Here is a 26,579-nt window from a genome sequence, read left to right as displayed (position 1 = left end):
CACCATGCCCGGCTATTTTTTTTTTTTTTTTGTATTATTAGTAGAGACAGGGTTTCACTGTGTTAGCCAAGCTGGTCTCAATCTCCTGACCTTGTGATCTGCCTGCCTCGGCCTCCCAAAGTGCTGGGATTACAGGCATGAGCCACCGCGCCTGGCCTCGTGTCCTCTTTTTTTCATGTCCAGCTGCTTTCTGCCCCATGCCTGGTCTCCCTCTGCCTTCTTGAAATTCCCCTATCACCATTCCCTGGGAGGCTGTCACCCCCATTTCCTCCTCCTCGAATCCTTTAGACCAGCGGTCCCCACCCATTTTGGCCACAGGGACTGGTTTTGTGGAAGACAGTTTTTCCACAGACTGGGCCAGTGGGATGGTTTCGGGGTGATTCAAGCACACGGCATTTACTGTGCACCTTATTTTTATGATTACATTGTAATATATAATGAAATAATTCTACAACTCACCATAATGTAGAAACAGAGGGAGCCCTGAGCTTGTTTTCCTGCAACTAGATGGTCCCATCTGAAGGTGATGGGAGACAGTGACAGATCATCAGGCATTTGATTCTCCTAAGGAGTGTGCAACCTGGATCCCTCGCATGTGCAGTTCACAGTAGGGTTCACGCTTCTGTGAGAATCTAATGCCGCTGCTGATCTGACAGGAGGCAGAGCTCAGGCGGTTAAAAAAAGCCATGGGGAGCGGCTGTAAATACAGATGAAGCTGGCTCGCCCACCTGCTGCTCACCTCCTGCTGTGCAGCCTGGTTCCTACAACCAGTCCATGGCCCAGGGGTTGGGGACCCCTGCTTTAGACCTTGCTGTGTTACAGGGGAATGCATTTGAATGACTTATATTCAGATAGTCCAGATAAACGGCCTCAAGATTTCAAGGCAAAAGGGTTTCATACATTTACACAATTCCTTTTTCCTTTGCAAATGCCTGCAAGACTACCTCCACAGCCAGAGAAATTCCCTTGTGTAAAACAGTGATAATAATACCTGCAGATGGGTTTTCTTTAGCAGAGAAAATGTAGATGCTATCATTGGCACATAATAGCTGCTCAATAAATCTCATACCTCTATGACTACAACCAGTAGTAGTGCTTCTCTGGTTGCTAGAGTAGTACCTTTTTAGCGATCAGAGAAAAGATGCAATAGGATGAAAAGGCCAGTGGTTTCCACTGGGAATTAGAAACTGGGGGACATGGGAGGAAAGAAACAATGAAGCATCTATTTCTTTTTGTTTGTTTGTTGTTGTTTGTTTGTTTGAGACAGAGTTTCACTCACTCTGTCACTCAAGTTGGAGTGCAGTGGCACAATCTCAGCTCACTGCAACCTCCCATCTCCCAGGTTCAAGTGATTCTCCTGCCTCAGCCTCCCAAGTAGCTGGGACTACAGGTGTGTGTCACCATGCACCATGCCCAGCTAATTTTTGTTTGTTTGTTTGTTTTTGTAGAGATGGAGTTTTGCCATGTTGGCCGGGCTGGTCTCTAACTCCTGGCCTCAAGTGATCTGCCCGCTTCGGCCTCCCAAAGTGCTGGGATTACAGGCATGAGCCACCACACTTGGCTATTTCTTCTTTTGGTTTTCTGATTTCTACCATCAACTTCTGAGCAGCCAGGGCCACACTGGAGTTTCTCCTTTCATGTTTTCTTTCTTTGCTCCTCATTCTCTCTTTCCCCCTATGAAGTTTGAATCAGAGACCAGGCATCTGCTAGAGAGAGAGAAGTTGGACAGAACATTCTAGTTCCTTATGCCCCTTTACCCCAATCTCTGATTATAATGAAGAAAGTGTAGACTCTTTCAGCAGGATGTGCCACCAATATCCCCTTTCCATTTGGGTATTCTCAATGGAAGAATAACCTCTTAATTCAAATCTTATTACTTTCTTCCCAAGAAAGAGGCATGGCAGGTAAGGTGGCTGGAAATTGAAAGTACTGATTTGCAAGGCTGCTTGGTGGGACATTGAGCCCATCTGCCTCATCACTGAGCTCAGGGGGCACGGCAAGTGGGTTCCTCGGAGCCCAGAAGAGCTTCTCACATGGACACCCTTCTGTCTTTACAGGTGGATCCCCACCTGCGCCCAGCTTTTTACCTCACGGAAGGAGCACTGGATTCATTTTGCTCCCAAGAGCAACTATGACTCAAGTCGAAACATTGAGGAATATTTTGCTTCTGTGGCATCATTCATGTCGCTGCAGCTTAGGGAGCTGGTCATTAAGTCACTTGAGGACCTCGTTTCCCTTTTCATGATACACAAAGTAAGTCAGGGACCTGCATTTGGACCTTTTGAGGGGAATAACCTGGTTACTTGGTTAGAGCCAGGACTCTGTCATGTACGTCCTCAGCTGTGAGCCAGGGCACAAAGTGAAATGCTTGACTTCCACCCACATCAGGCAGTTGTTAGTTTATAAAAATGTCTTCTTTTAGCTGGAAGAAGGATATTGAATGTTCCCAACACACACACACACAAATGGTAAATGTGGCCGGGTGCATTACAGGCCACGTCTGTAATCTCAGCACTTTGGGAGGCCAAGGCGGGCAGATCACCTGACGTCAGAAGTTCAAGACCAGCCTGGCCATCATGGTGAAACCCTGTCTCTACTAAAAATACAAAAATTTTCCTGGCATGGTGGCGGATGCCTGTAGTCCCAACTACTCGGGAGGCTGAGGCAGGAGAATTGCTTGAACCCAGGCGGCGGAAGTTGCAGTGAGACCAGATCGCGCCATTGCACTCCAGCCTGGGCGACAAGAGTGAAACTCTGTCTCAAAAAGGAAAAAAAAAAAAAAGTAAATGTTTGAGATGATAGATATGCTAATTACCATGATCTGACCACTATACATTATATGTATCCTGTAAATATGTACAATTAATCAGTATCAATTTTTTAATTTTTAAAGAGAGGTATAAAACCATAAATAAAATCTTAAGAAGTCCAGTCCAGCTGTGGATTGGAATAATTTTAAAAATAATTTCCTTAAATACATGGCAAACTTTCTTGAGATAATCACTCAGTATTAAGTTGGTAAAAATGTACAGAAGTAGAGAAGTTGTTAAGAAAATTTAAAGAAAAATTGCATAAAATGAAAGACATATGTCTTACAGTTTGGGGAGAAGGAATCATTTTTTTCATCCTCTCTTTTACAAGAAGGGGTTGGAAAAGGTTTGTTTTCAATCTTTGGCTTGATATTGAGGGAGTGCTGTAGGTTTCATTGTAGATATGGGTTTTTGTTCTTTGGTCTTGGCAAGGGGCACCTCTAAAGACAAAAGGCTTTGTTGACCTAATTAAGAAATTCTTTCATGAAACTGTTTTAGGGAAGTCAAAATGAAAACTAAAAACACTGGCCAGGCACGGTGGCTCACGCCTGTAATCCCAGAACTTTGGGAGACCGAGGCAGGCAGATCACCTGAGGTCAGGAGTTTGAGACCAGCCTGGTCGACTGGTGAAACCCTATCTCTACTAAAAATACAAAAATTAGCCGGGTGTGGTGGTGTGTGCCTGTAGTCCCAGCTACTCAGGAGACTGAGGCAGGAGAATCACTTGAACCCAGGAGGCAGAGGTTGCAGTGAGCCGAGATCACGCCACTGCCTGGCTCCAGCCTGGGTGACAGAGCGAGACTCTGTCTAAAAAAAAAAAGAGAGAAAACTGAAAACACTAAGTCCTAGTTTTCAAAGCACCATAGCATTCCCTGAATTTGGATAGCCTAAAAATCGATGAATATTCTTTTGAATTTTATGCCGTGTGCACATTTTACCTTAACAAAGTAACAAAAATTAAAAATTACCTGGTTATAAAAGGTTAAGTTTTCCAAATGAAGTAATAAAGATTAACAATTGGTCTTTTGCTCAAAAATATAGAAACCAGTGGGGCTGAATTGCAATGTTAGCTCTCTAAAGAAGACCAATCTATAAATGTCATTGTGATTGTCTACTTTGCTAAGCATAAGAAACCCAGGGGTGGAAGCCAATCTCACTCTAAAATTCCACACAAAGGGAAATGTAAAATCTTCCTGTGTCTGGAAAATAGGGGGGAATTTATAGGTATTTGATATACAGTAGGTATTCACCAAATATCATCAGTCATCTTTAAATGGATCTAGAAATCTCTATGTAAGAAGTACTTTACAGCTGCCTTCTGACAATTTCATTAGGCGCTGTAGTTTATGAGGGCATCCTGGGTTAGAGCTTTTGTAGGGAATTGGAAATAGCTCTATGTCAATATTTCTGTTGTAGCAAGGTTGACATTTTGAGTGTCTAAAATAAACTATGCTCATTAGCAACTCCATTTGGGGTTATATGGATTATGATTAATACTTTTGGACTGAATCAATAAATTTTTATTGAGCACCTGTTAGGTACTATATGCTGTCTCAGGTATTTTGGAGGAGAGAGGTGATCAGACATAGATCCTGCCCTCAACTTTAGAATAGACAAGTTGAGATACGCATATAAATTCCTACCAGAGAGAAAGAAAAAAATACTAGGCTGGGCCTAGTGTCTCATACCTGTAATCCCAGCACTTTGGGAGGCTGAGGCAGGAGGATCACTTGAGCTCAGGAGTTTAAGACCAGCCTGGGCAACATAGTGAGACCTCATCTCTAAGGACACAAATAAAATAAATTAAAAAAAAAACAGAGGAAGTAGAAATACACAAGTTCAGAAGTGGGAGGAGATTATATCCAGCTGAGAAACAGGGAGGCTTCCCAAAGGAAGAAATGTTTTAGCTGAATTTTGAAGGATGGGAAGGATCTAGATATTGGGTGCAGGAATTACCAAGCCGCATAAACAAAAGGGAATAAAGGCTTTGGGAAAGGGAGAGTGCATGGAGTCAGGGTGGGCTAAGCTATACCCAATACATATTTTATTTGTTTTTTATTTTTTTGAGATGGAGTTTCACTCTTGTTGCCCAGGCTGTAGTGTAACGGCGTGATCTCACTGCAACCTCTGCCTCCTGGGTTCAAGTGATTCTACTGCCTCAGCCTCTCAAGTAGCTAGGATTACAAGCACCCATCACCATGCCTGGCTAGTTTTTTGTGTTTTTTAGTAGAGACGGGGTTCCACCATGTTGGCCAGGCTGATCTTGAACTCCTGACCTCAGGTGATCCACCTGTCTCGGCCTCCCAAAGTGCTGGGATTACAGGTGTGAGCCACGGTGCCCAGCCCCAGCCCATATTTTAAATATAAACAGTGTATGATGCCCTTCATTGCCTTTTCTGGTCCTCATGTAGTTCTATGAATGTATAAAATTCACTCCCTTGATTTTGGAAGGCCCAATTTTGTAACGCTTGCCCTACCTTATGTCTCCTGAAGGATGGGAATGATTTTAAGGAGCCCTACCAAGAGATGAAGTTTTTCATACCTCAGCTAATCATGATCAAACTTGAAGTCAGTGAACCCATTATTGTCTTCAATCCATCTTTTGATGGCTGCTGGGAATTAATACGTGACTCTTTCCTGGAAATTATTAAGAACTCTAATGGGATCCCCAAGGTATAGTAGTCACTTAATCATTCATTTGCATGATTTTTTCACTTAGTGAATAAAATGTATTGAAAGAGGTTGTACAAGTCAGGTCGCTGGGATATTCAGTTAAGGGAGCTTCACTTTGGAGATATATCCTGAATATAACCCCTTGACCCCAGACAAATGATTTAGACCATAAAGAAATATTCACGCAGCCCAGAATTGTGCTTCTAACAAGAGCACGAAGAGCTGCTTTGTAGGAGAATCACTTGAACCCGGGAGGCAGAGGTTTCAGTGAGCTGAGATGGCGTCACCGCACTCCTGCCTGGGCGACAGAGCGAGACTCCATCTCCAAAAAAAAAAAAAGAAAAAAGAAAAAAAAAAAAAGACCTACTTTGTGAGAGAGTATAGTGTCCTCCATGATGTCAACCTCAATGAATCAGATAGGTCCCAAGCCATATCTGTGGGTTAATAATCCATCATGAATCAATTGCCATTAACTTGCCAAGAACTTTTTTTCAATTTCAGTTTGAAGTTTCACTCTTCTGTGTGCTTATTTGTTTGTTGGTTTGTTATGTTTTAGCCACTGTAGGCTTCTAGAGAGAATAACCATTCCTTTCCTGGCCCACGCCCTTTCCAGTTTGCTTTCCAGGGTAGAGTTACTAATTAAATTCCAGACACTTATTAACAAACTTTTATTACTAGACAGGATCATGCACATGGATGTAACTCCTTTTAGCTCCATCTTTTCCTCACTCCCTCTGATTGGTTGGTATGACCAAAGGGCCATTGTCCAGTTCCATATAGGGAAGGGATCTGTGGGGTCTTGCTGGCTAGCTCCCTCACCCTTCCACCTTCTCACTCTCTCCATGCATTATGTATGCTTCACATGGGCCTTGCTCATGTGAAACGAATGCCCAGGAGTTCAAGGTTGCAGTGCAAGGAGGCCCAAGCATTCTTCTCTTTGCAATCTGGTACTTACAGGGTTCTAAGTACTCCATTAAAACTGGGTGTGTGGGAGGAGAAGAAACACTGGGCAGCTCTCCTACAACCAGTATCCCTAGGAAGGAAATGGAAGAAAAGACCCTGTAATTTGGATGACTATGTATGGGGACAGCTGAAATACATACCACTTAAGTTCTCCTTCACTGCTGCTGCTGCTGATCGGCAATGTGTGAAAGCAGCTGAGCCAGGAGAGCCCAGCATGCACGCGGCTGCCACTGCAATGGCAGGTACCAGGGCCGGTACTACATTTGATGAATTACAATGCCAAGAAGACATGGTTTGTACCAGGTTTGAAAACAAGGCCTATGTGAATACCAATGACTTTACGAGACAATAAGGAAAAACAACGTAGACTGAGTTCCCCATCTAGTGACACCCACAGCCCTAGCTTCCTCCTTAAGCCCCTCAGACTGTTTTATCTCTGAACTGGTTAGTGAAGACTTAAAAACATAGTCCTGCAGGTTGACTAAGAAAAATCTTTAAGAATGGCAACTGGTGGGTGTTACCTTCACTCACTGCAAGATCTGCCGTATATATGGTTTAAAAAGAATTTTAAAAGTTAGTTAAGGTCAATCATGGTGGCTCACACCTATAATTTTAGAGCTTTGGGAGGTCGAGAAGCAGGAAGATTGCTTGAGGCCAGGAGTTCAATATCAGCCTGGGCAATATAGCAAGACCTCATCTCTACAAAATTAAATTAGCTGGGGTGGTGGCACACGTCTGTAGTCCTAGCTACTCAGGAGGCTGAGGCAGGAGGATCGCTTGAGCCCAGAAGTTCAAGGGTGCAGTGAGCTATGATTGCACCATTGCACTCCAGCCTGGGCAACAGAGTGAGACTCTGTCAAAAAAAAAAAAAAAAAAGTTGGTAGGGAAAAGCTAACAAGAGACTTTTGAAAATAGAAAATAGAGTAAATAGCATTATTCAAGACACAGAAAGAAAGCAGGAAAGCATATTTGTGAGAAATAATTATTAAAGGGGCTAGGCACAGTGGCTCACACCTGTAATCCCAGCACTTTGGTAGGCCAAGATGGCTGGATCACCTGAGGTCAGGCGTTCAATACCAGCCTGGCCAACATGGTGAAACCCCGTCTCTACTAAAAATACAAAAAATTAGCCGAGATGGCTGGATCATCTGAGGTCAGGAGTTCAATACCAGCCTAGCCAACATGGTGAAACCCCGTCTCTACTAAAAATACAAAAAATTAGCCGGGTGTGGTGGCGGGTGCCTGTAGTCCCAGCTACTCGGGAGGCTGAGGCAGGAGAATCACTTGAACCCAGGAGGCGGAGGTTACAGTGAGCCTAGATTGCGCCATTGCACTCCAGCCTGGGCAACAAGAGTGAAACTCCATCTCAAAAAAAAAAAAGAATTTTTTTTTTTCTGCTTGAGCCCGGGAGGCAACCTCTACCTCCCAGGCTCAAGCCATCCTCCCATCTCAGCCTCCCAAGTAGCTGGGATAACAGGTGTGCACCACCATGCCCGGCTTATTTTTGTATTTTGTAGAGACAGGGTTCCGCCACGTTGCCCAGGCTGGTCTTGAACTCGTGAGCTCAAGCGATCTGCCTGCCTCTGCCTCCCAAAGTGTGGGGATTATAGGTATGAGCCACCACACCCGGCCGAATGCGATTGTTCTTGACTCCATTTCACAGACTGCTCTACAGGGCATAAGAGAATCCACCACATTGAAAGAGCAGCAAGAGGTATTTCATCCTCTTAAGTTTGAAGACTTCTTCCCATGAGACGATCCATTATCCTGCCCACTTGTGATCTGTCACATGGCCTGGGGGCACCAATTGTGCTGCCCTAAACCATTTCATTCACGCATTGACCAGTGCCAGTCCCTCCATCTCGTTGCCTTTGGCAGCTGTCTGTAGTATGGCTGCAGCAAAGAAGTTGCTCCTCCACTGGTTTCAAAACCTCTGGATTGGCCAAACAAGACACAGATCATTTGCACTTGATTTTCCCCCTTTCTAAATTGATGCATTTCCATCAAAGGCATATAACCCATGTAACTCACTGAAACACTCTGAAGACCTTTTCTGAGACCAGCCACTAAAATCTTTCTTAGCAGAGAGGACAATGGAAGACAATGGGTCCCAGGCAGGAACTTTGCAGCCTGCATGAGCCATGCAAGTGAGAACATTCTCAGAGACACACACGTGCCATGAGGGAGTTAGAGTGACTAGACGTGGAGACTCAAGCCTGCAATCTCAATACTTTTGGAGGCTGAGCCGAGGGCCAGGGTTCATATACAATTACAGGTCCACCTCCATTTTCTGAAAGTTGTGAAGCCAGACCACCAGTTCAAGACCAACCTGGGCAACATAGAGAGAGCCCCTGTCTGTACAAAAATATAAATAAAAATAAGAAAATTAGGCATGGTCGCAGGCACCTGTAGCTCCAGCTACTCAGGAGGCTGAGGTAGGAAGACTGCTTGAGCTGAGGAGTCACATAGCATAGGAGCTATGATGGTGCCACTGCACTCCAGCCTGGGTGACAGAGTGAGACCATCTCTTTAAAAAAATAAATAAATAAAAAGAAGTTAGAGAGTATGAATTCTCTCAGAAGATACTTTCAGTGCCTCATGATCATAAAGCCATCGTTTGTTTTCTCTGGGCTTAGAGGAGAATCTAGTACATCTCTTCTTTTTTACAGATGAGAAAATGGGGATTCAGAGAAGTAGTTTAGGCCAGATGTGGTGCCTCATGCCTGTAATCCCAGCACTTTGTGAGGCTGAGGCAGGTGGATTGCTTGAGGTTTGAGACAAGCCTGGCCAACATGGTGAAGCTCTGTCTCTACTAAAAATACAAAAATTAGCTGGGTATGGTGGTGCATGCCTGTAATCCCAGCTACTCGGGAGGCTGAGGCAGGAGAATCGCTTGAGCCCAGGAGGCAGAGGTAGCAATGAGCCCAGATCGTGCCACTGCACTCCAGCCTGGGCCATAGAGTGAGACTGTCTCAAAAAAACAAAACAAAACAAAAAAAAACCCACGAGAGAAGTAGTTTACCTAAGGTCACATTGTCCCTCAGTGGCAGATTCAGAATTAGAATCCACGTCTCCAGAATTTTCATTAGAGAGGAAAACTGGGTAGTAGGGGAGGAGGGGAGCACTACGATAGTATTCATTGACTCACCCAGTATTTTTTGAGCACTTACCAAGTGCCAAGCTTTTGCTAGGCCCTGGGGATATAACAGTGAAGAAGTCAAATATGATCCAGACCTTCATGGAATTTGTATTCTATGACACACCTAGAACATCTCATTACACATTCATCTAATTGCAATTGTGATGAGTGCTAAGCAGGAAAAGTTCAGAAGGTGAGCCTGAAACAGGGAAACCAACATCCACTGGAGCGTTGTGGGGCGGTGAGCAGGACAAGGGGGACTCTCAAAGGACAAGACCCTTGAAAGGTCAGGGATTTGAAAGATGAGTAATCCAGGCAAGAAGGAAAGGAGAGAGAACAGAGGTAGAGGAAACAGCAGGGTGATTCCAGCACTATCTAAGAGGAAATAGAGTAAAAATGCAGCTGGCAGCCCTGGAAATGAGTGCATTAGAGAAGGCTTTGCATTTGGGTACCATCTCCCTTCTTAAGTCTTGCAACATGCAAAAGTGGTGTTTACTCTTCAGGTGGAATCTGTCCTGTTCCCAGAGCTGAAAGGATATAATCTGCTCCTTGGAACTGTTAACGCAGAAGAAAAACTTGTTTCTGATTTTTTGATTCAAACTTTCAAGGTATTTCAGAAAAATCAAGTTGGCCCCTGCAAGTAAGTTGAGTTATAAATTTATTAGCTATGTAGCTTTTTGGGATTGATTTGGTGTTCTTAACTCTCATCCAATAAGGTATTCCTGTTCCCAAACACCTGAACACATACATAGTAAGAATAGCCAATACTTACATGAGTATTACTATTTATTCCCACTTTACAAATGAGGAAACTCTAACTGTCCCAGTGTTACATAGCAAATAGTTAGTAGAGCCAGGATTCAAATTCAATTACAGATCCACCTCCATTATCTGATAGTTGTGAAGCCAGATGGGTTTTGGCACTTCAAAATTTCTGGGTTATATAAAAGTAACATAATGCGTATATCATATATTATCCTGCAGTTTCTGTGAGGTCTGGGGCAACATGTTGATATTTCTGCAGGGAAACCTATAAATATTCACATAATAGCCTCATATCTGTTCAGGCCAACTTTTGCTACCAAGTGAATTTTGAGGCAACTGTCTGTTTTCAGAACTTTTTGGATTTGGGGATCGAGAATCAGTTATCTGAACCCACAGGCCATGTCCTTTAATCATCACACTGTAAAACATCTCACAGCTGCACACGTGAGCAGTCACTATGTATAGTCCGTTCTCACGCTGCTAATGAAGACATGCTTGAGACTGAGTAATTTACAAAAGAAAGAGGCTTAATTGACTCACAATTCTGCAGGTCTGGGGTGGCCTCAGGAAACTTATGGTCGGTCGGTCGTGGCAAAAGGGGAAGCAAACACATCCTTCTTCTCGTGGCAGCAGGAAGAGGAAGTGCTGAGCAAAAGGGGGAGGGAAAAGCCTCTTATAAACCATCAGATCTCGTGAGAACTCACTGTCACGAGAACAGCATGAGGGTAACCGCTCTCATGATTAAATTACCTCCCACCGAGTCCTTCCCACAACACGTGGGGATTATGGGAACCACAATTCAAGATGAAATTTGGGTGGGGACACAGCCAAACCATATCACACTAGTTTAGGGTGATCCTGTAAATAGCTTCCAAAGTGAGACAATTTACGAGTGAAAAGAGTGTTGTTAACAATTACCATGGGACAACAGGTATAAACCTGGACTGTCCCAGGCAAACCAAGAGATATGGTCACGCTAACCCAGAGTTTTTGGACTGCAGCTCTACTGACATTTTTGACTGGAAAATTATATTGTGGGGGCTGTCCTGTGCGTGGTGGGCTGTTTAGCAGAATCCTTGTAGGAATTATGCATGCCGGCAGGAATCCCCTGGTTGTGACAGCCAAGAATGTCTTCAGGTGTGGCCAAAAGTCCCCACCAGTTGAGAACAACTGCTAACCTAGTCAAAAAATCATGGCCTCATATTTGGAAGCCCTGCCCTCGTGAATTTGATTTGGGAGATTCTATTTGAAACCTCTGTTTTCCCTATTCATGGACTCTTAGACACACAGTTATTTTATTTTATTTTATTTTATTTATTTTATTTTATTTTTATTTTATTTTATTTTATTTTATTTATTTTATTATTTTTTGAGATGGCATCTCGCTCTGTCACCCAGGCTGGAGTATAGTGGCATGATCTCAGCTCACTGCAACCTCCATCTCCTGGGTTCAGGCAATTCTCCTGCCTCAGCCTCCCAAGTAGTTGGGACTACAGGCATGTGCCACCACGCCCAGCCGATTTTTATATTTTTAGTAGACACAAGGTTTCACCATGTTGGCCAGGCTGGTTTCAAACTCCTGACCTTAGGTGATCCACTCACCTCGGCCTCCCAAAGTGCTGGGATTACAGGTGTGAGCCACCTTGCCTGGCACGTTTTGTCTTTCTTTCTACTTTTTTTTTTTTTTTTACACTTTAAGCTCTAGGTTACATGTGCACAACGTGCAGGTTTGTTACATATGTATACATGTGTCATGTTGGTGTGCTGCACCCATTAACTCGTCATTTACATTAGGTATATCTCCTAATGCTATCCCTCCCCGATCCCCCAACCCCATGACAGGCCCCGGTGTGTGATGTTCCCCTTCCTGTGTCCAAGTGTTCTCATTGTTCAATTCCCATCTATGAGTGAGAACATGTGGTGTTCAGTTTTTTGTGCCTGTGATAGTTTGCTGAGAATGATGGTTTCCAGCTTCATCCATGTCCCTACAAAGGACATGAACTCATCCTTTTTTATGGCTGTATAGTATTCCATGGTGTATATGTGCCACATTTTCTTAATCCAGTCTATCATTGATGGACATTTGGGTTTGTTCCAAGTCTTTGCTATTGTGAATAGTGCCACAATAAACATACGTGTGCATGTGTCTTTATAGCGGCATGATTTATAATCCTTTGGGTATATACCCAGTAATGGGATCAACTGGGTTAAATGGTATTTCTAGTTCTAGATCCTTGAGGAATCACCACACTGTCTTCCACAATGGTTGAACTAGTTTACAGTCCCACCAACAGTGTAAAAGTGTTCCTATTTCTCCACATCCTCTCCAGCACCTGTTGTTTCCTGACTTTTTAATGATCGCCATTCTAACTGGTGTGAGATGGTATCTCATTGTGGTTTTGATTTGCATTTCTCTGATGGCCAGTGATGATGAGCATTTTTTCATGTGTCTTTTGGCTGCATAAATGTCTTTTGAGAAGTGTCTGTTCATATCCTTCGCCCACTTTTTGATGGGGTTGTTTGTCTTTCTGGATTGACAGTTCCACGGATTTCTCATTGCATCTCAGTTTCAGAGTCTCTAAAGTGTTGATCACCTCTTGGAAGCATGCCACTGAGTCCCACAAAGTTAATTCTGCTTACTCACTATCATCTTTATTTTAATTCAAACTTATTTTAAACCAGACCATCCCAAACACATCCTCCAATTTTGGGGAAACTGTCCAGCCATTTTTGTGTCATTTGATTACAGGCAGAGAAAATTTTGATTTTATTTAATAGATTTTAGGTTAATTAGTCCTAGATTTTCATCTTAAGATTTAGGCTTAGAATTTTGGGACTTGAAGAAGGGATAGGAATCACAGGCGTCCCCTTTGTCTGCGGTTTTGCTTTCTGCAGTTACAGCTACCCGAGGTCAACTAAGGTTGGAAAATATCAAGCTATTTTGAGAAAAACAGAGAAAGGGACCACATTCATATAACTTTTATTTTTACATTATATTGTTATATGTTCCATTTTATTTTCAGTTATTGTTAATCTTTTGCTGTGCCTAATTTATAAATTAAACTTTATCATAAATACATATATGTGTATAGGAAAAAACAGTATATAAAGGGTTCAGTACTATCTGCGGTTTCAGGCATTCACTGGGGGTCTTGGAACATATCCCCAAGGGTAAGGAGGGACTATCGTAATATTTGTAGCACATTCATTGTATGTCAGGCACAGCATTAATTCATTTGTGTGTGCTTTATTACAGTTAAGCATTACAATAATCCTATGAGGTGTTAATGATCATTTCCACTTAAAATTAAAGACATTGGGCCCGGCCTGGTGATGCATGCCTGTAATCCTAGCACTTTGGGAGGCCAAGGTGGGCAAATGACTTGAGGCCAGGAATTTGAGAGCAGCCTGGCCAACATGACAAAATTCTGTCTCTATTAAAAATACCAAAATTAGTTGGGTGTGGTGGCACATGCCTCTAATCCCAGCTACTCCAGAGGCTGAGGCAAGAGAATCACTTGAAGCTGGGAGGAGGAGATTGCAGTGAGCTGAGATCACAGCACTGCACTCCAGCCTGGGTTACAGTGAGAGTCTATCTCAAAAAATAAAATAAAATAAAATTAAAGACAACTGTGATGGTTAATACTGAGTGTCAACTTGATTGGATTGAGGGATACAAAGTATTAATCCTGGGTATGTTTGTGTAGGTGTTGCCAGAAGAGATAATGAGGAAGAAGCAAAAGCAGAAACCCCTGGTAAACCCATCAGATCTCACCAGACTTATTCACTACCATGAGAATAACATGGGAAAAAACCAGCCCTATGATTCAACTACCTCCCCCTGGGTCCCTCCCACAACAAGTGGGAATTCTGGGAGATACAATTCAAGTTGAGATTTGGTGGAGACACAGCCAAACCATATCATTTTGCCCCTGGCCCCTCCAAATCTCATGTCCTCACATTTCAAATCAAACCATGCCTTCCCATTAGTCCCCCAAAATCTCAACTCATTTTAGCACCAACCCAAAAGTCCACAGTGCAAAGTCTCATCTGAGACAAGGCAAGTCCCTTCTGCCTATGAGCCTGTAAAATCAAAAGCAAGTTAGTTACTTCCTAGATACAATGGGGGTACAGGTATTGGGTAAATACAGCCATTCCAAATGGGAGAAATTGGCTAAAACAAAGGGGTACAGGGCCCATGCAAGTCCAAAATCCAGTGGGACAGTCAAACTTTAAAGCTCCAAAATGATCTCCTTTGACTCCAGGTCTCACATCCAGGTTATATTGATGCAAGAGGTGGGTTCCCATGGTCTTGGGCAGCATGGGAATGTGTGGTTGGTTTTAAATTTGAGGACATGAGATTTGGAGGGGCCAGGGAGAGAATGATATGGTTTGGCTGTGTCCCCACCAAATCTCAATTTGAATTGTATCTCCTAGAATTCCCACGTGTTGTGGGAAAGACGCAGGGGGAGGTCATTGAACCATGGGGGCTGTTTTGTCCTGTGCTATTCTCATGATAGTGAATAAGTCTAATGAGATCTGATGGTTTATCAGGGGTTTCCACTTTTGCTTCTTCCTCATTTTCTCTTGCCACTGCCATGTAAGACGTGTCTTTTGCCTCCCACCATGATCTGAGGCCTCCCCAGCCATGTGGAACTGTAAGTCCAATTAAACCTCTTTTTCTTCCCAGTCTCGAGTATGTCTCTATCAGCAGTATGAAAATGGACTAATACAACACCCATCCTTGAAAAACTGAAATATCTTGTCTAAGTTTACACTGCTAGGAAGTGGTGAAACTGAAAATCAGAGCCAAAATTCTGAGTTCTCTGTTTAATGAAACTTTTGCCACATTATAGTTCTCTTTCCTGGCTTGGGCTACATTTTTTAAAATGCTACTATGTCTTCATTTGCCACTCTGACTCATCTGATTTGGTTGACTTATATTTGTGTGTTTGATTTCACACCCTTCAATATGGAAGATATTTAAATGTCTACAAAAAGTATGTTGACTTATTGGATAACACGGCAGAGCAAAACATCGCTGCGTTCCTGAAAGAAAATCATGACATTGATGATTTTGTGACGGTAGGAAATGCCACTTGAGATTTTATACCTTGGTGACATGTGCTGCAGACAATCCAATGAGCAGTTAGTGTCTCTTTGGTGCATAGACCATGCTCAGCATTGGACTAGGGTTGGCCAGGGGTTAGGCTGGGGGCAAGTGGGAGAGGCTCAAGGGCAAATCAAGCTACTGAATGTGCTCCTTTCTGCAGAAGATCAATGCCATAAAGAAACGGAGAAATGAAATTGCATCCATGAACATCACCGTGCCTTTAGCCATGTTCTGCCTTGATGCTACGGCCCTAAATCATGATCTCTGTGAGCGAGCTCAAAATCTTAAAGACCATCTGATTCAATTCCAAGTGGATGTAAACCGAGACACCAATACCAGGTATTGTAATTCTGTGCAGACAAATAGCAATGGTATTTGGCACCAACTGGAGACGAAAAAGTGACCAGAACTTGCACCTTCCAGCAATGAACAGATTATTTTCTAGATCAAGTTTTTTCTGCCCCTAAGTAAGGGTAGTGAGGAATTCAGGTTCAGGCTAGGAGGTGAACAGTCAAGAGAAAGCGACATGGGGGTTGGAGTAGGCGGGTGGAGGGCATTTGTTAGCAGTTTGTCTCTGATCCTGAAGCTTTTGTCTTCTTGCAGGCAAATTCAGGAGAATGCAAACTGCTTCCTGGGCTTGTCTGTCTGAGGTCACAGGCCCTTCTCACTGTTCATCTAGCACATATTTTGAAACACAAAGTGCTTACAGGCGCATTTTCCTTAGAATCACTCCTAGGCAGAATTCTGCTGTATAGGTCCGGGAATTCTGTTGTTCAATCTTTTTCTTTTTCAAAAGGAGGTTTCACTCTATCTGGAGTGCAGTGGCCTGATCATAGCTCATTGTAGCCTCGAACTCCTGGGCTCAAGCAATCCTCTTGCCTCAGCCACCTGAGTAGCTAGGACTATAGGCATCCACCATCATGGCTGGCGAATTTTCTAATTGTTTTCAGAGACAGGGTCTTGCTATGTTGTCCAAGCTGGATTGTAGTGGTTATTCACAGGTACAGTCACAGTGCACGGTAGCCTCAAATTCCTAGATTCAAGCAATCCTCCTGCCTCTATTTGCATATCATTTTTCTTTCTCTTTTTTAGACACATGGTCTTGTTCTGTCCCCTAGGCTGGAGTGCAGTAGTGGCGCGATCATAGCTCATGGCAGCCTCGACCTCCCAGGCTCAAGTGATCCCCCTGCCTCAACCTCCTAAGTCTGTTGGGACTACAGGTGTGAGCCACCATGTTTGGTTCCATTGTTCAATCTTAAACTCTATATTATGCCTTTATTTTACTGACAACTACGTGTTAGACAAGATGTTTTTGGTTATAATGGATAGAAGCTCAAACAGACTAGCTTGGGTTAAAAAGGGAATTTGTGGCTCACATGTTGAAAAGTTTAGGGTTTCTAGCTTCAGGCCCTCAATGCTGCAATTAGGATGCAATTCCTCTCTCTCTGCTTGGCTTTCCTCCACGTTGGCTCCATTCTCTAACAGGTTCTCTCCAGTTTATGGGCTTCTGCAGCTCCAGGCTTACATCCTCCCGGATTCCTATCCAGAGGAGGCAAAAAATTTCTTTTTCTATCATCCTTGGAAAAGTCCTGGCCCATGTGAGGTTGGCCTGACTTAGGTCGTTTGTACAACATTGAATCAAACACTGGCCAAGAGGATGGCTTAGATCTGGCTGGGTGTTCCCATCTCTGGGATGGGTGTCAACACCACCTAAACCACATGAGCTGAAAGGGGTGGGGGTCCCCGATAATACATAGGTGTTGTTACAGAAAGAGGTAATGGATGCTTGGCTGAGATGGCAACTGCCTTCTACTGTGTCTCTATTTGAAGGTTAGAAAATGGTTATTCCATGTTATCCTAGCTCTCTTCCTCAAAGCACTTTAAACTATAGACTAAAATGATTTAGTGGCCAGGTGCCATGGCTGACGTCTATAGTCCCAACATGAGATTGGGTTTACTTTGGGAGGTGGAGGCAGGAGGATTGCTTGAGCCCAGGAGTTCAAGACCAGCCTGGGCAACATGGGAAGATACCATCTCTACAAAAATAAAAATTAAGAAATTAGCCAGGCATAGTGGCATGTGCCTGTGGTCCCAGCTACTCAAGAGGCTGAGGCGAGAGGATCACTTGAGCCCCAGAAGTCGAGGCTGCAATGAACCATGTTCACACCACTGCACTCCAGCCTGTGCATCAGAATAAGACTCTGTCTCAAAAAAAAAGAAAAAAAAAAAAGAGAGAGGTATGCAAGTTGAGGCAGGAGTATCACTTGAGCTCAGGAGGTCAAGGCTGCAGTGAGTTATGATTGAGGCGCTGCACTCCAGCCTGGGCCACAGAGCAAGACCCTACCTCAGAATAAATAAATGTAAAATAAAATGATTTAGTAATAATCACCGCTATTAATATTATATTGTATACTGTATTATTCATATATGTGTAATTTTAGCATTTTATAGTACTATAAGTTTTACAAAATACATATCAGAAAATCATCAGCAAATTAATAATAATACTAGTGACCATCTTCCCAGCACATGGTATAATCTAGGCACCATATAAGTACCCTGCACAGAATAGATCTAATCAGGAACTCACAACAGCCCTAAGAGGTTGTTCATTATTTTCCCCATCGTGTTGATGAAGACACTGAGACTCTGACAGGTTAGGCAGTGGCATATCTGGGAATTAACCCATTTTGACCTCAAAGTCCATGTGCAAGCAGCTTTCTCATTCATTGATGAAGAGGTCAGATTCTTGGTTTTGGAGCCAGAATAGCTGGCCTTGTCTCTTGGATCTTCAGTTTCTCTTTTTCTTTTTCTTTTCTTTCTTTCTTTTTTTTTTTTTTTTGAGACAGAGTCTCGCTCTGTTGTTCAGGCTGGAGTGCAGTGGCATGATCTTGGCTCACTGCAACCTCCGCCTCCCAGATTCAAGTGATTCACCAGCCTCAGCCTCCTGAGTAGCTGGGATTACAGGTGTGTGCCACCACACCCGGCTAATGTTTTGTATTTTTAGTAGAGACAGGGTTTCACCATGCTGGTCAGCCTAGTCTCAAACTCCTGATCTCAGGTGATCTGCCTGCCTTGGCCTCCCAAAGTGCTAAGATTACAGGGGTGAGCCACCGCACCCAGCCTGTATCTTCAGCTTCTTTGCCTATAGGATATGGGTTTGGGACGAGGACAGCAAAAGGTTTTCAGCCTTCACACTACTCGGACACTTTTTAAAAAATTGAGACAGGGTCTTACTCTGTTGCCCAGACTGGAGTGCAGTGGCATGATCAAAGCTTACTGCAGCCTCGACCTCCTGGGCTCATGTCATCCTCCTGCCTCAGCCCCCGAAGTAGCTGGGTCTACAGATGCTCACCAATACACCTGGCTAATTTTTGCATTTTTTGTAGTGATGGAGTTTTGCCATTTGCCCAGGCTGGTCTCAAACTCCCTGGCTCAAGCAATACTCCCACTTCAGCTTCCCAAACTGCTGGGATTACAGGCGTGAGCCACCACACCCGGCCTACTTGGAGACTTTCTTTGGAAAGTTTGAGCCATGCATTTTTTTCCCTTAAGCAATCATCCATTTGTTCCTGTCAAATCAAAGCAACATGGTGCCTTAGTTGATCAGTGCATTCATCCTTATCCAAATAAATGTATAATGTCCTTAGGTCTTTTTAATATAAGTGAAAATAAGAGCCTCATTCTGAACCCAGGAATATCTAAGAATGCAGACACCCCAGGTTGGCAGCTGAACTCCAGGTTGGTGGCTGACTTCTGAAGTTTCTGTCTGCCTTAAAAATAACATCAACAGGGCTGGGCGCAGTGGCTTACGCCTGTAATCCCAGCACTTTGGGAGGCCGAGGCGGGTGGATCATGAGGTCAGGAGTTCAAGACCAGCCTGGTCAAGATGGTGAAACCCCATCTCTACTAAAAATACAAAAATTAGCCGGGTGTGGTGGTGGGTGGGGGCGGTGCCTGTAATCCCAGCTACTAGGGAGGCTGAGGCAGAGAATTGCTTGAACCTGGGAGGAGGCGGAGGTTGCCGTAAGCTGAGATCACACCACTGTGCACCAGCCTGGGTGACAGAGCAAGACTCCATCTCAAAAAAGAAAAAAAAAAACATGTCACGATCAAGTAATAATAACAAAACTATGGTATCATTGCTAACATTTGTTGAGGGCCACTCTGTGCTAGGAGTGGACGTATTGCGGATGATTTGCTTCTAATTGTAGTTAAGATGCCAAGACCGTCAGTCATTTGCTTTTGCATAAATTAGAGCATATTCAAATTATCTGTATAATAACATCATTTTTCAGTCTTATGTTTGAAAAGTGGCCAGTTAGACCTGGTAGTCCCAGTAATGGAACATTTTCTCTGCCAAGAGGGATTACCTGTAGCCCATGAGGATAAACTTACTGTTGTTCTGTTAAAAGCAATGATTAAGGCTGGGTGCGGTGGCTCATGCCTGTAATCCCAGCACTTTAGGAGGCCAAGGCAGGCAGATCACCTGAGGTCAGGAGTTCAAGACCAGCCTGGCCAACATGGCAAAACCCCATCTCTACTTAAAATACAAAAATTAGCCGGGTATGGTGGCAGGCACCTGTAATCCCAGCTACTCGGGAGGCTGAGGCAGGAGAATTGCTTGAGCCCGGGAAGCAGAGGTTGCAGTGAGCTATCACACCACTGTAATCCAGCCTGGGTGACAGAGCAAGACTCTGTCTCAAAAAAAAAAAAAAAAAAAAAGATTAAAAATTAATTTAGTGCTCTATTTCAACACAAAATGTGATGAATTGCTGGTGGTGGTGGTGGTGTTTTGGTCTAAATCTAGGTTCTGTGTATGAGAGGTAGTATGGTGTATTTGTTAAGAGTATGAGCTTTGGAGTCAATTAACCCAGGTTCAGATCTTGGCTCTGACACCCACATACCATGTTGCTTTCGATAATGTTACTCAGGGTCACTTTCTTCCATTATAAAGTATAGATAATAGTAGTATCTACCTCTTAGAATTGTTGTGAGGATTAAATGAGTTAATCTATGTAAATGATTAGAATGGGGTGTGCTACTTCATAATGGCTTAATACATAACAGGTATTATTATCATTACAACTGCTATTATTCCTGGAGTTTAGTGTGCATGTGAATATTATCCATCAAGGATTTGCAGGCAGGGAAAAAATTAAAAAAAAATTTTCTTTTTTTTTCAAATAGGAATTATGTATTTTGAACATGGAGTCTTACAAGAAAGTCATTTTAGATGGTGATGATGGTGATGATGATGATGATAACAATGGCTGTTTCTTTTCTGTAGCATTTGTAATCAGTACAGCCACATCGCAGACAAAGTCAGTGAGGTTCCTGCCAACACTAAGGAGCTGGTATCCCTCATTGAATTCCTAAAGAAATCCAGTGCTGTCACTGTGTTCAAACTCAGGAGGCAACTTAGAGATGCAAGTGAACGGCTGGAGTTCCTGATGGACTATGCAGACTTGCCGTGTAAGTCCAATGCCATGTGTGACCATCGAAATGCATACCTATATGTATATTTTATATTTGTATATATAACATTTCAAATAGTCTATATGTATTTATATATTTAGGGGTAAAGTGTTGAGCAAAAGGATAGTTATATGAATTCTACCACTAAATATAAAAGAGCTGCCTTTCAAGTGCCCCCATATGTTAGAGGCACGAATTTTATACTCATATCCACAGTAATTTGAATCACACAAAAGGAATCTTGTTAGACACAAAGGAGACATAGATAGACACTTGACCTCCAGTTCTTTTTTTTTTTTTTTTTTTTTTAGATGGAGTCTCGCTCTGTCATCAGGTTGGAGTGCTGTGGTGTAATCTAGGCTCACTGTAACTTCCGCCTCCTGGGTTCAAGCAATTCTCCTGCCTCAGCCTCCCAAGTAGCTGGGACTACAGGCACGTGCCACCATGCCCAGCTAATTTTTGTATTTTTAGTAGAGACGGGGTTTTACCATGTTGGCCAGGATGGTCTCTATCTCTTGACCTCATGATCCGCCCGCCTCAGCCTCCCAAGTGCTGGGATTACAGGCGTGAGCCATGGGGCCTGGCCGACCTCCAGTTCTTAGATCCCTGTCTTGGCATCTGTGTCTGGTGTTCCTGGAAAAGTCACTTCCAAATGCAGAATCATTTTTTTAAATGAGTAGATTTTACTTACCTGTAATCTTTTATTTATTTATTTTTTTTGTCGAGACAGAGTCTTGCTCTGTCATCCAGGCTGTAGTGCAGTGCCACCCTCGGCTCACTGCAACCTCTGCCTCTCAGGGTCCATCAATTCTCATGCCTCAGCCTCCTGAGTAGCTGGAATTACAGGCACGTGCCACCACGCCCAACTAATTTTTGTATTTTTAGTAGAGACAGAGTTTCTCCATGTTGGCCAGGCTAGTCTTGAACTCCTGGCCTCAAGTGATCTGCCTGCCTCGACCTCCCAATGTACTGGGATTATAGGCGTGAGCCACAGCCCCTGGCCGCCCATCTGTAATCTTCATCAATCCCACTTTTGAAGAGGCCGAGACACTTTTCTTCATGCTCCTGTGTATTGTAAAAGGAAAAAAATAGTCAGGGCTCCTTGAAAGTTTGTTGGGTCAAGTTAGAGTTTTAAAGTGAGAAGCAGATTCTGAAGGAAAAGTTAATAACCTCTCAACAAGCCATTTTCTATCTGAAAATACCTGTGAATTACTTGGTGTTCACAATGTATGGATGTCAGGGGGAGGTTGATGGGAGGGAGAGATGGGGACTGGGAGTGAAAAGTGGTTCCCTAACCATCCACCTGCATGTTCACGAGCTGTGCCCTCGACCCCTGGATACACCGTGGACTCTCACTGTGGGCTCTGCCTCCCGAAATTCACAAAGGAAACCCAGGGTGGACATTTTAATTCACCAGAGTCATAAAATGGGTAGGGCATTTGGCTTTGATACCATGACTGCCATTTAACCTAAAGGGAAACCGACATGCAGATGAAGTGAAATAGTTTGAACTGTGGAACGAGAGCATCAATCTGGGTTTCTGACTTGACTCAGACCTAGCCTAGGAAGGCAATCAAGCAGAGAGGTTAGAACACAGGCTTTGGAATTAGACCTGGATTTGAATTCCTCTCTGATGCCTTCTAGCAGTGTAACCTTGACCACTAGGCTCAATGGCTGTGTTTGCCATCTGTGCAAACAAGGATGATAATATCATCTACCTTCTAGCCTGGCCCTTAGTAAGTGCTCAACAAATGTCACTGTCACTCATCCATGTGTTCATTGCCACCCCCACACCACTCCTGTTGACCTCTTGTTCTGTCTAATTAATTCGCCACATGCTGACCCGACCTATGCTAAACAGTGTCCTGGAGCAGGCAGTATGTGTTTTGCAGATGAGGACATCAAATTGAACAGCACTCTGTTCCTCTGGCCAGACCAGATTGAAGATATCTTTGACAACAGCCGGAACTTGCTCCTTCACAAGAGGGATCAGGCAGAAATGGATCTGATTAAAAGGTACCGGGAGAGTCTGGGATTGTCTTGGAAATGAGACCTGACTTCTTCACCCATGCTGCAGGTTCCTGGTTCTGTCTAAGCCATCCCCCAGCTCACTCCATGGCAACGTGTGGGCGAAGTCTGAAAACAATTGGTGGAGAAGGCATTTCCTTTGGTTTCCCACTGAGGGATGTTTTCTTTAAGACTGCTTCACTGTAATAACCTCTGCTAATGTCTTCCCTTCCTGCCTTGAATAATTGGAATTTGGTGGTGCAGAGAGAAAAACGCAAAACTAGTGGCATGTTATAACGGCCTCCCCAATAATAATAGTGAAATTGTCAGCCTTACATTGGAGACCACAGATCTGTAAGATATCAAGATATCAAGATAATAAAGGCATGGCAGGGGGGCTGAGAAATTGCCTATTTTGCAGCTGGTCTTATTCAGAGCTAATGTGGCTGTAATCACTTATTCATTCATTATTTGTCAATTCAGTTGGTATTTATTGCGGATTTTCATGATGTGCTATGCTCTGTTCTAGACATCTATGTGTGTTTGGCTGCTAAATAAAGATTTTAATCCAGCGACATAGAAAATATAGACATACTGACAAATCCAATAATGTCAAGTGAAGTGGGCCAGTGCCATGGACATGGTTTTACACACACACACACCCACTCCAGGTTCACGTTTTGATTATGACCTGCAGATTCATATCAATTACCCTGTCCCCTTCACATAAGAAACTCCCACTCCCAACTTGAGCTGCCATAGTTCCTGCAAATACTTACAAGAAAGGACAAGAATAGATAAAAGCAGGGATTTCTACACCAAATGGGAGAGTTTTGGCTGAAGGGTCAACCCATGTAGTTGCTACCTGGAAAATGTGGCCTAAGTGTGCTCCCCAGGGAGTGCAAAACATTTGTGTGTGTGTGTTTGTGAGTGTGTGTGTATTTTCCTGCCTCCACCTGGATGGATACTGGCCCTGGAGCCCAGAACTTAGCCTGATGGAAGGAATTGATTTGTGTTTAAATTAATAGACTATGTTTTAGAGCAGTTTCAGATTCACAGCAAAATTGAGCAGAAAGTACAAAGAATTCCCATATACCTCCCAACTCCCCCACCCTGCCCCCCCCCACACACACACCCTCTACACCCTTTTCTATGGAACTGATTTTTTTTCCATAGGTTTTTGGGGGAACAGGTGGTATTTGGTTACATGAGTAAGTAGTGGTGATTTCTGAGATTTTGGTGCACCCATCACCTGAGCAGTACACACTGAACCCAATTTGTAGTCTTGTATCCCTCACCCCCCTCCTACCCTTTCCCTGGAGTCCCCAAAGTCCATTGTATCATTCTTATGCCTTTGCATCCTCATAGCTTAGCTCCCACTTATGAGTGAGAATATACGATGTTTGGTTTTCCATTCCTGAGTTACTTCACCTAGAATAATAGTCTCCTGGCCGGGCATAGTGGCTCATGCCTGTAATCTCAGCACTTTGGGAGGCCGAGGCAGGCAGATCATGAGGTCAAGAGATTGAGACCATCCTGACCAACATGCTGAAACCAGCCTGGTGACAGAGCGAGATTCTGTCTCAAAAAAAAAAAAAAAAAGAATAATAGTCTTCAATCCATCCAGGATGCTGCAAATGCCATTAATTCATTCTTTTTATGGCTGAGTAGTATCCACTCTATATATCTACCACTTTTTTATGTCTAACCAGGAAAGTAAAATCATTTTCCCCCAGCAATTTCTTTATTTGCTTTTTAATATATTTTAACTTTTATTTTAGGTTCAGGAGTACATGTGCAGGTTTGTTATATAAGTAAACTTACAACTTGGGTGGCAAAATCACTTTTTTTGTTAGATAAATAAACAGAAGGCTCATCTTTTTGAGACTCTGTGCCCCTCATCTGGAGAACGGGATAGAATCAGACCCTCTCTCATGGTGCTGAAGGATGAAATGAGATGATCTGAGATTGTGCTTAGGTGGTAAACAGCACGTGGTAGGAATCCCAAAACTATCAGCTTCCTTCTCCCTTTGAACAGGGACCTCTGTGGGGAGAAAAACGCTTCTCAACTTCCAAGGCATCAATTTTGCATGCATGATTTTAGAATATTACTCCAAGACCAATTAGAGACAGTAAATGCTGTTGAAGTTAGGAGGAGTGAGGGGTGGCTCTGTGAGGAATGGGAACAATTGTCATTTATGACGAGAGGAGTAGAGTGTCCTTGTCTCCTTCTGAGGGGTGACTCTCAGCTTGATCTCATCCGCTGGTTCCCCAGCTCTTAACAGCAGGGGCCAGCAGAGGGCGGCTCTAGAAGAGGCTCAGCAGGGCAGCCCTGGGCTCACCCCTCTCTTCGGTGAACCTTTAAATCCTTATGTCCATCATGTTGCATTAATCCTGAGAACAGCCTGTGAGATGGATTAAGCCATATTCATGCATCCATCCATCTCATGAGAAAACAATCTTGCTTCCTCTGCAAGAAATCTGGCTTTATTTTCCCAGTCCACATTAATGGTTTTGGGGTTCCATGCCGATTATTCTCCATTTGCTGTTCCTACCCCACCCTCCGGCTCTGCACCTGGAAGGTGATGCCCAATCTGCAGTGTTGGATTCTCTTGTCTGTTGGATCCGGGCTGGGCCCTGTCCACAGAGCCCTGCAGGAGGTGGGAGAGTAGCTAGCAAGCTTTTCCTCCTCTCCCTCCCTGCCTGGCCCTGGGGCTCAGAGGCAGTAGCTGCATCCCTCTGATGTCAATGCCTCCTCCTCCATGGTTCCAGTTTCCATTGTCCCCAGCCTGGGGGTCCTAATGGCTTCCCTCTGATGCTAGTCTCTGGGTGCCTCACTGTCTGCTATTTGTTCCTTTAATCCTATCCATATCTCACCCCTGCAAGTAATCCTTAAAGTATCTTTCTTTGAACATGGGAGTGAATTCTATTTCCTGCCAGAATCCTCCCCTTACACTCTAAATGGTCCCACAAATACAACTCTTATTCAACCTAATTTCATGAGTGCCTACTATTTGCTAATGATTGTATTATTCTATGGAATATAATATATTGGGATATATATATAGGAATTTATTTATATGAAATATGTATGGAATTTACATATATACACACACACATACACACAGCTAGTCACTGACTTACGATGGTTCAACTTACGATTCTTTGACTTTCTGATGGTGTGAAAGTGATATGTTGAGTACCCATACAACCATTATGTTTTTCACTTTCAGTACGGTATACAATAAGTTACATGGGATAGTCAACACTTTATTATAAAACAGGCTTTGTCTTAGATGATAACTGTGGACTAATGTGAGTGTTCTGAGTGCATTTAAGATAGGCTAGGCTAAGCTCTGATGTTCAGTAGGTTAGGTGTATTAAATGAATTTTCAATTTCCAGTATTTTCAAATTGCAATAGGTTTATAGGGATGTAACCCCATTGTAAGTCAAGGAGCAGTTGTTTGTATGTGTGTGTGTTGTGGGGACATGAAAGTACTTTGGAAACTATAATGTACTTAGCAATTATAAGAAATTAGAAACAATAATAATAGTAATATTTTAAGGTAATCACTGAGCTTACATGCAGTTGCCCTCTGGGAGGAATTCAAAACTGCTTTCATCAGAGAT

General features: G+C 43.4%; 1 protein-coding gene and 1 long non-coding RNA gene across 17 annotated transcripts in view, besides 1 other annotated feature; one reads left to right on the top strand and one right to left on the bottom strand.

Moving 5' to 3' along the window:
• Positions 1-26,579, top strand: part of DNAH3 (dynein axonemal heavy chain 3) — a 226,349-nt gene that overhangs the window by 32,032 nt on the left and 167,738 nt on the right. For 10 of the 15 annotated variants that reach the window (XM_047434348.1, XM_011545883.1, NM_001347886.2 and 7 more), the window contains 7 exons: positions 2,058-2,253; positions 5,304-5,483; positions 10,089-10,225; positions 15,330-15,435; positions 15,624-15,802; positions 20,754-20,938; positions 22,834-22,957. In XM_047434348.1, coding sequence (XP_047290304.1) covers positions 2,058-2,253; positions 5,304-5,483; positions 10,089-10,225; positions 15,330-15,435; positions 15,624-15,802; positions 20,754-20,938; positions 22,834-22,957 — 1,107 coding nt within the window. Of the gene's footprint in view, positions 1-2,057; positions 2,254-5,303; positions 5,484-6,573; positions 6,689-10,088; positions 10,226-15,329; positions 15,436-15,623; positions 15,803-20,753; positions 20,939-22,833; positions 23,537-26,579 lie in introns of those variants that run through there. The other 5 variants (XM_047434349.1, XM_017023427.2, XM_017023432.2 and 2 more) reach the window with 4 other exon arrangements.
• On the bottom strand, positions 6,138-10,997 carry LOC107984888 (uncharacterized). 2 transcript variants are annotated; one of them, XR_007065020.1, is made up of 2 exons: positions 10,891-10,997; positions 6,138-10,219 (listed from the first exon to the last, which is right to left on the bottom strand). It is a non-coding gene; the product is annotated as an uncharacterized LOC107984888 (long non-coding RNA). The 2 variants fall into 2 exon arrangements; XR_001752105.2 differs by having other exon boundaries at positions 6,138-6,516.
• Positions 10,787-10,886: an enhancer, noted in NCBI's record as "active region_10547". NCBI's record gives its function as "activates an Ori minimal core promoter by ATAC-STARR-seq in GM12878 lymphoblastoid cells {active_cell/tissue: GM12878}" and the evidence as "EXISTENCE:reporter gene assay evidence [ECO:0000049][PMID:35858748]".

This window comes from Homo sapiens, chromosome 16 (genome assembly GCF_000001405.40).
Source record: "Homo sapiens chromosome 16, GRCh38.p14 Primary Assembly".
Classification (NCBI taxonomy): Eukaryota; Metazoa; Chordata; class Mammalia; order Primates; family Hominidae; genus Homo; species Homo sapiens.
This window is presented reverse-complemented; position numbering and strand designations above follow the sequence as displayed.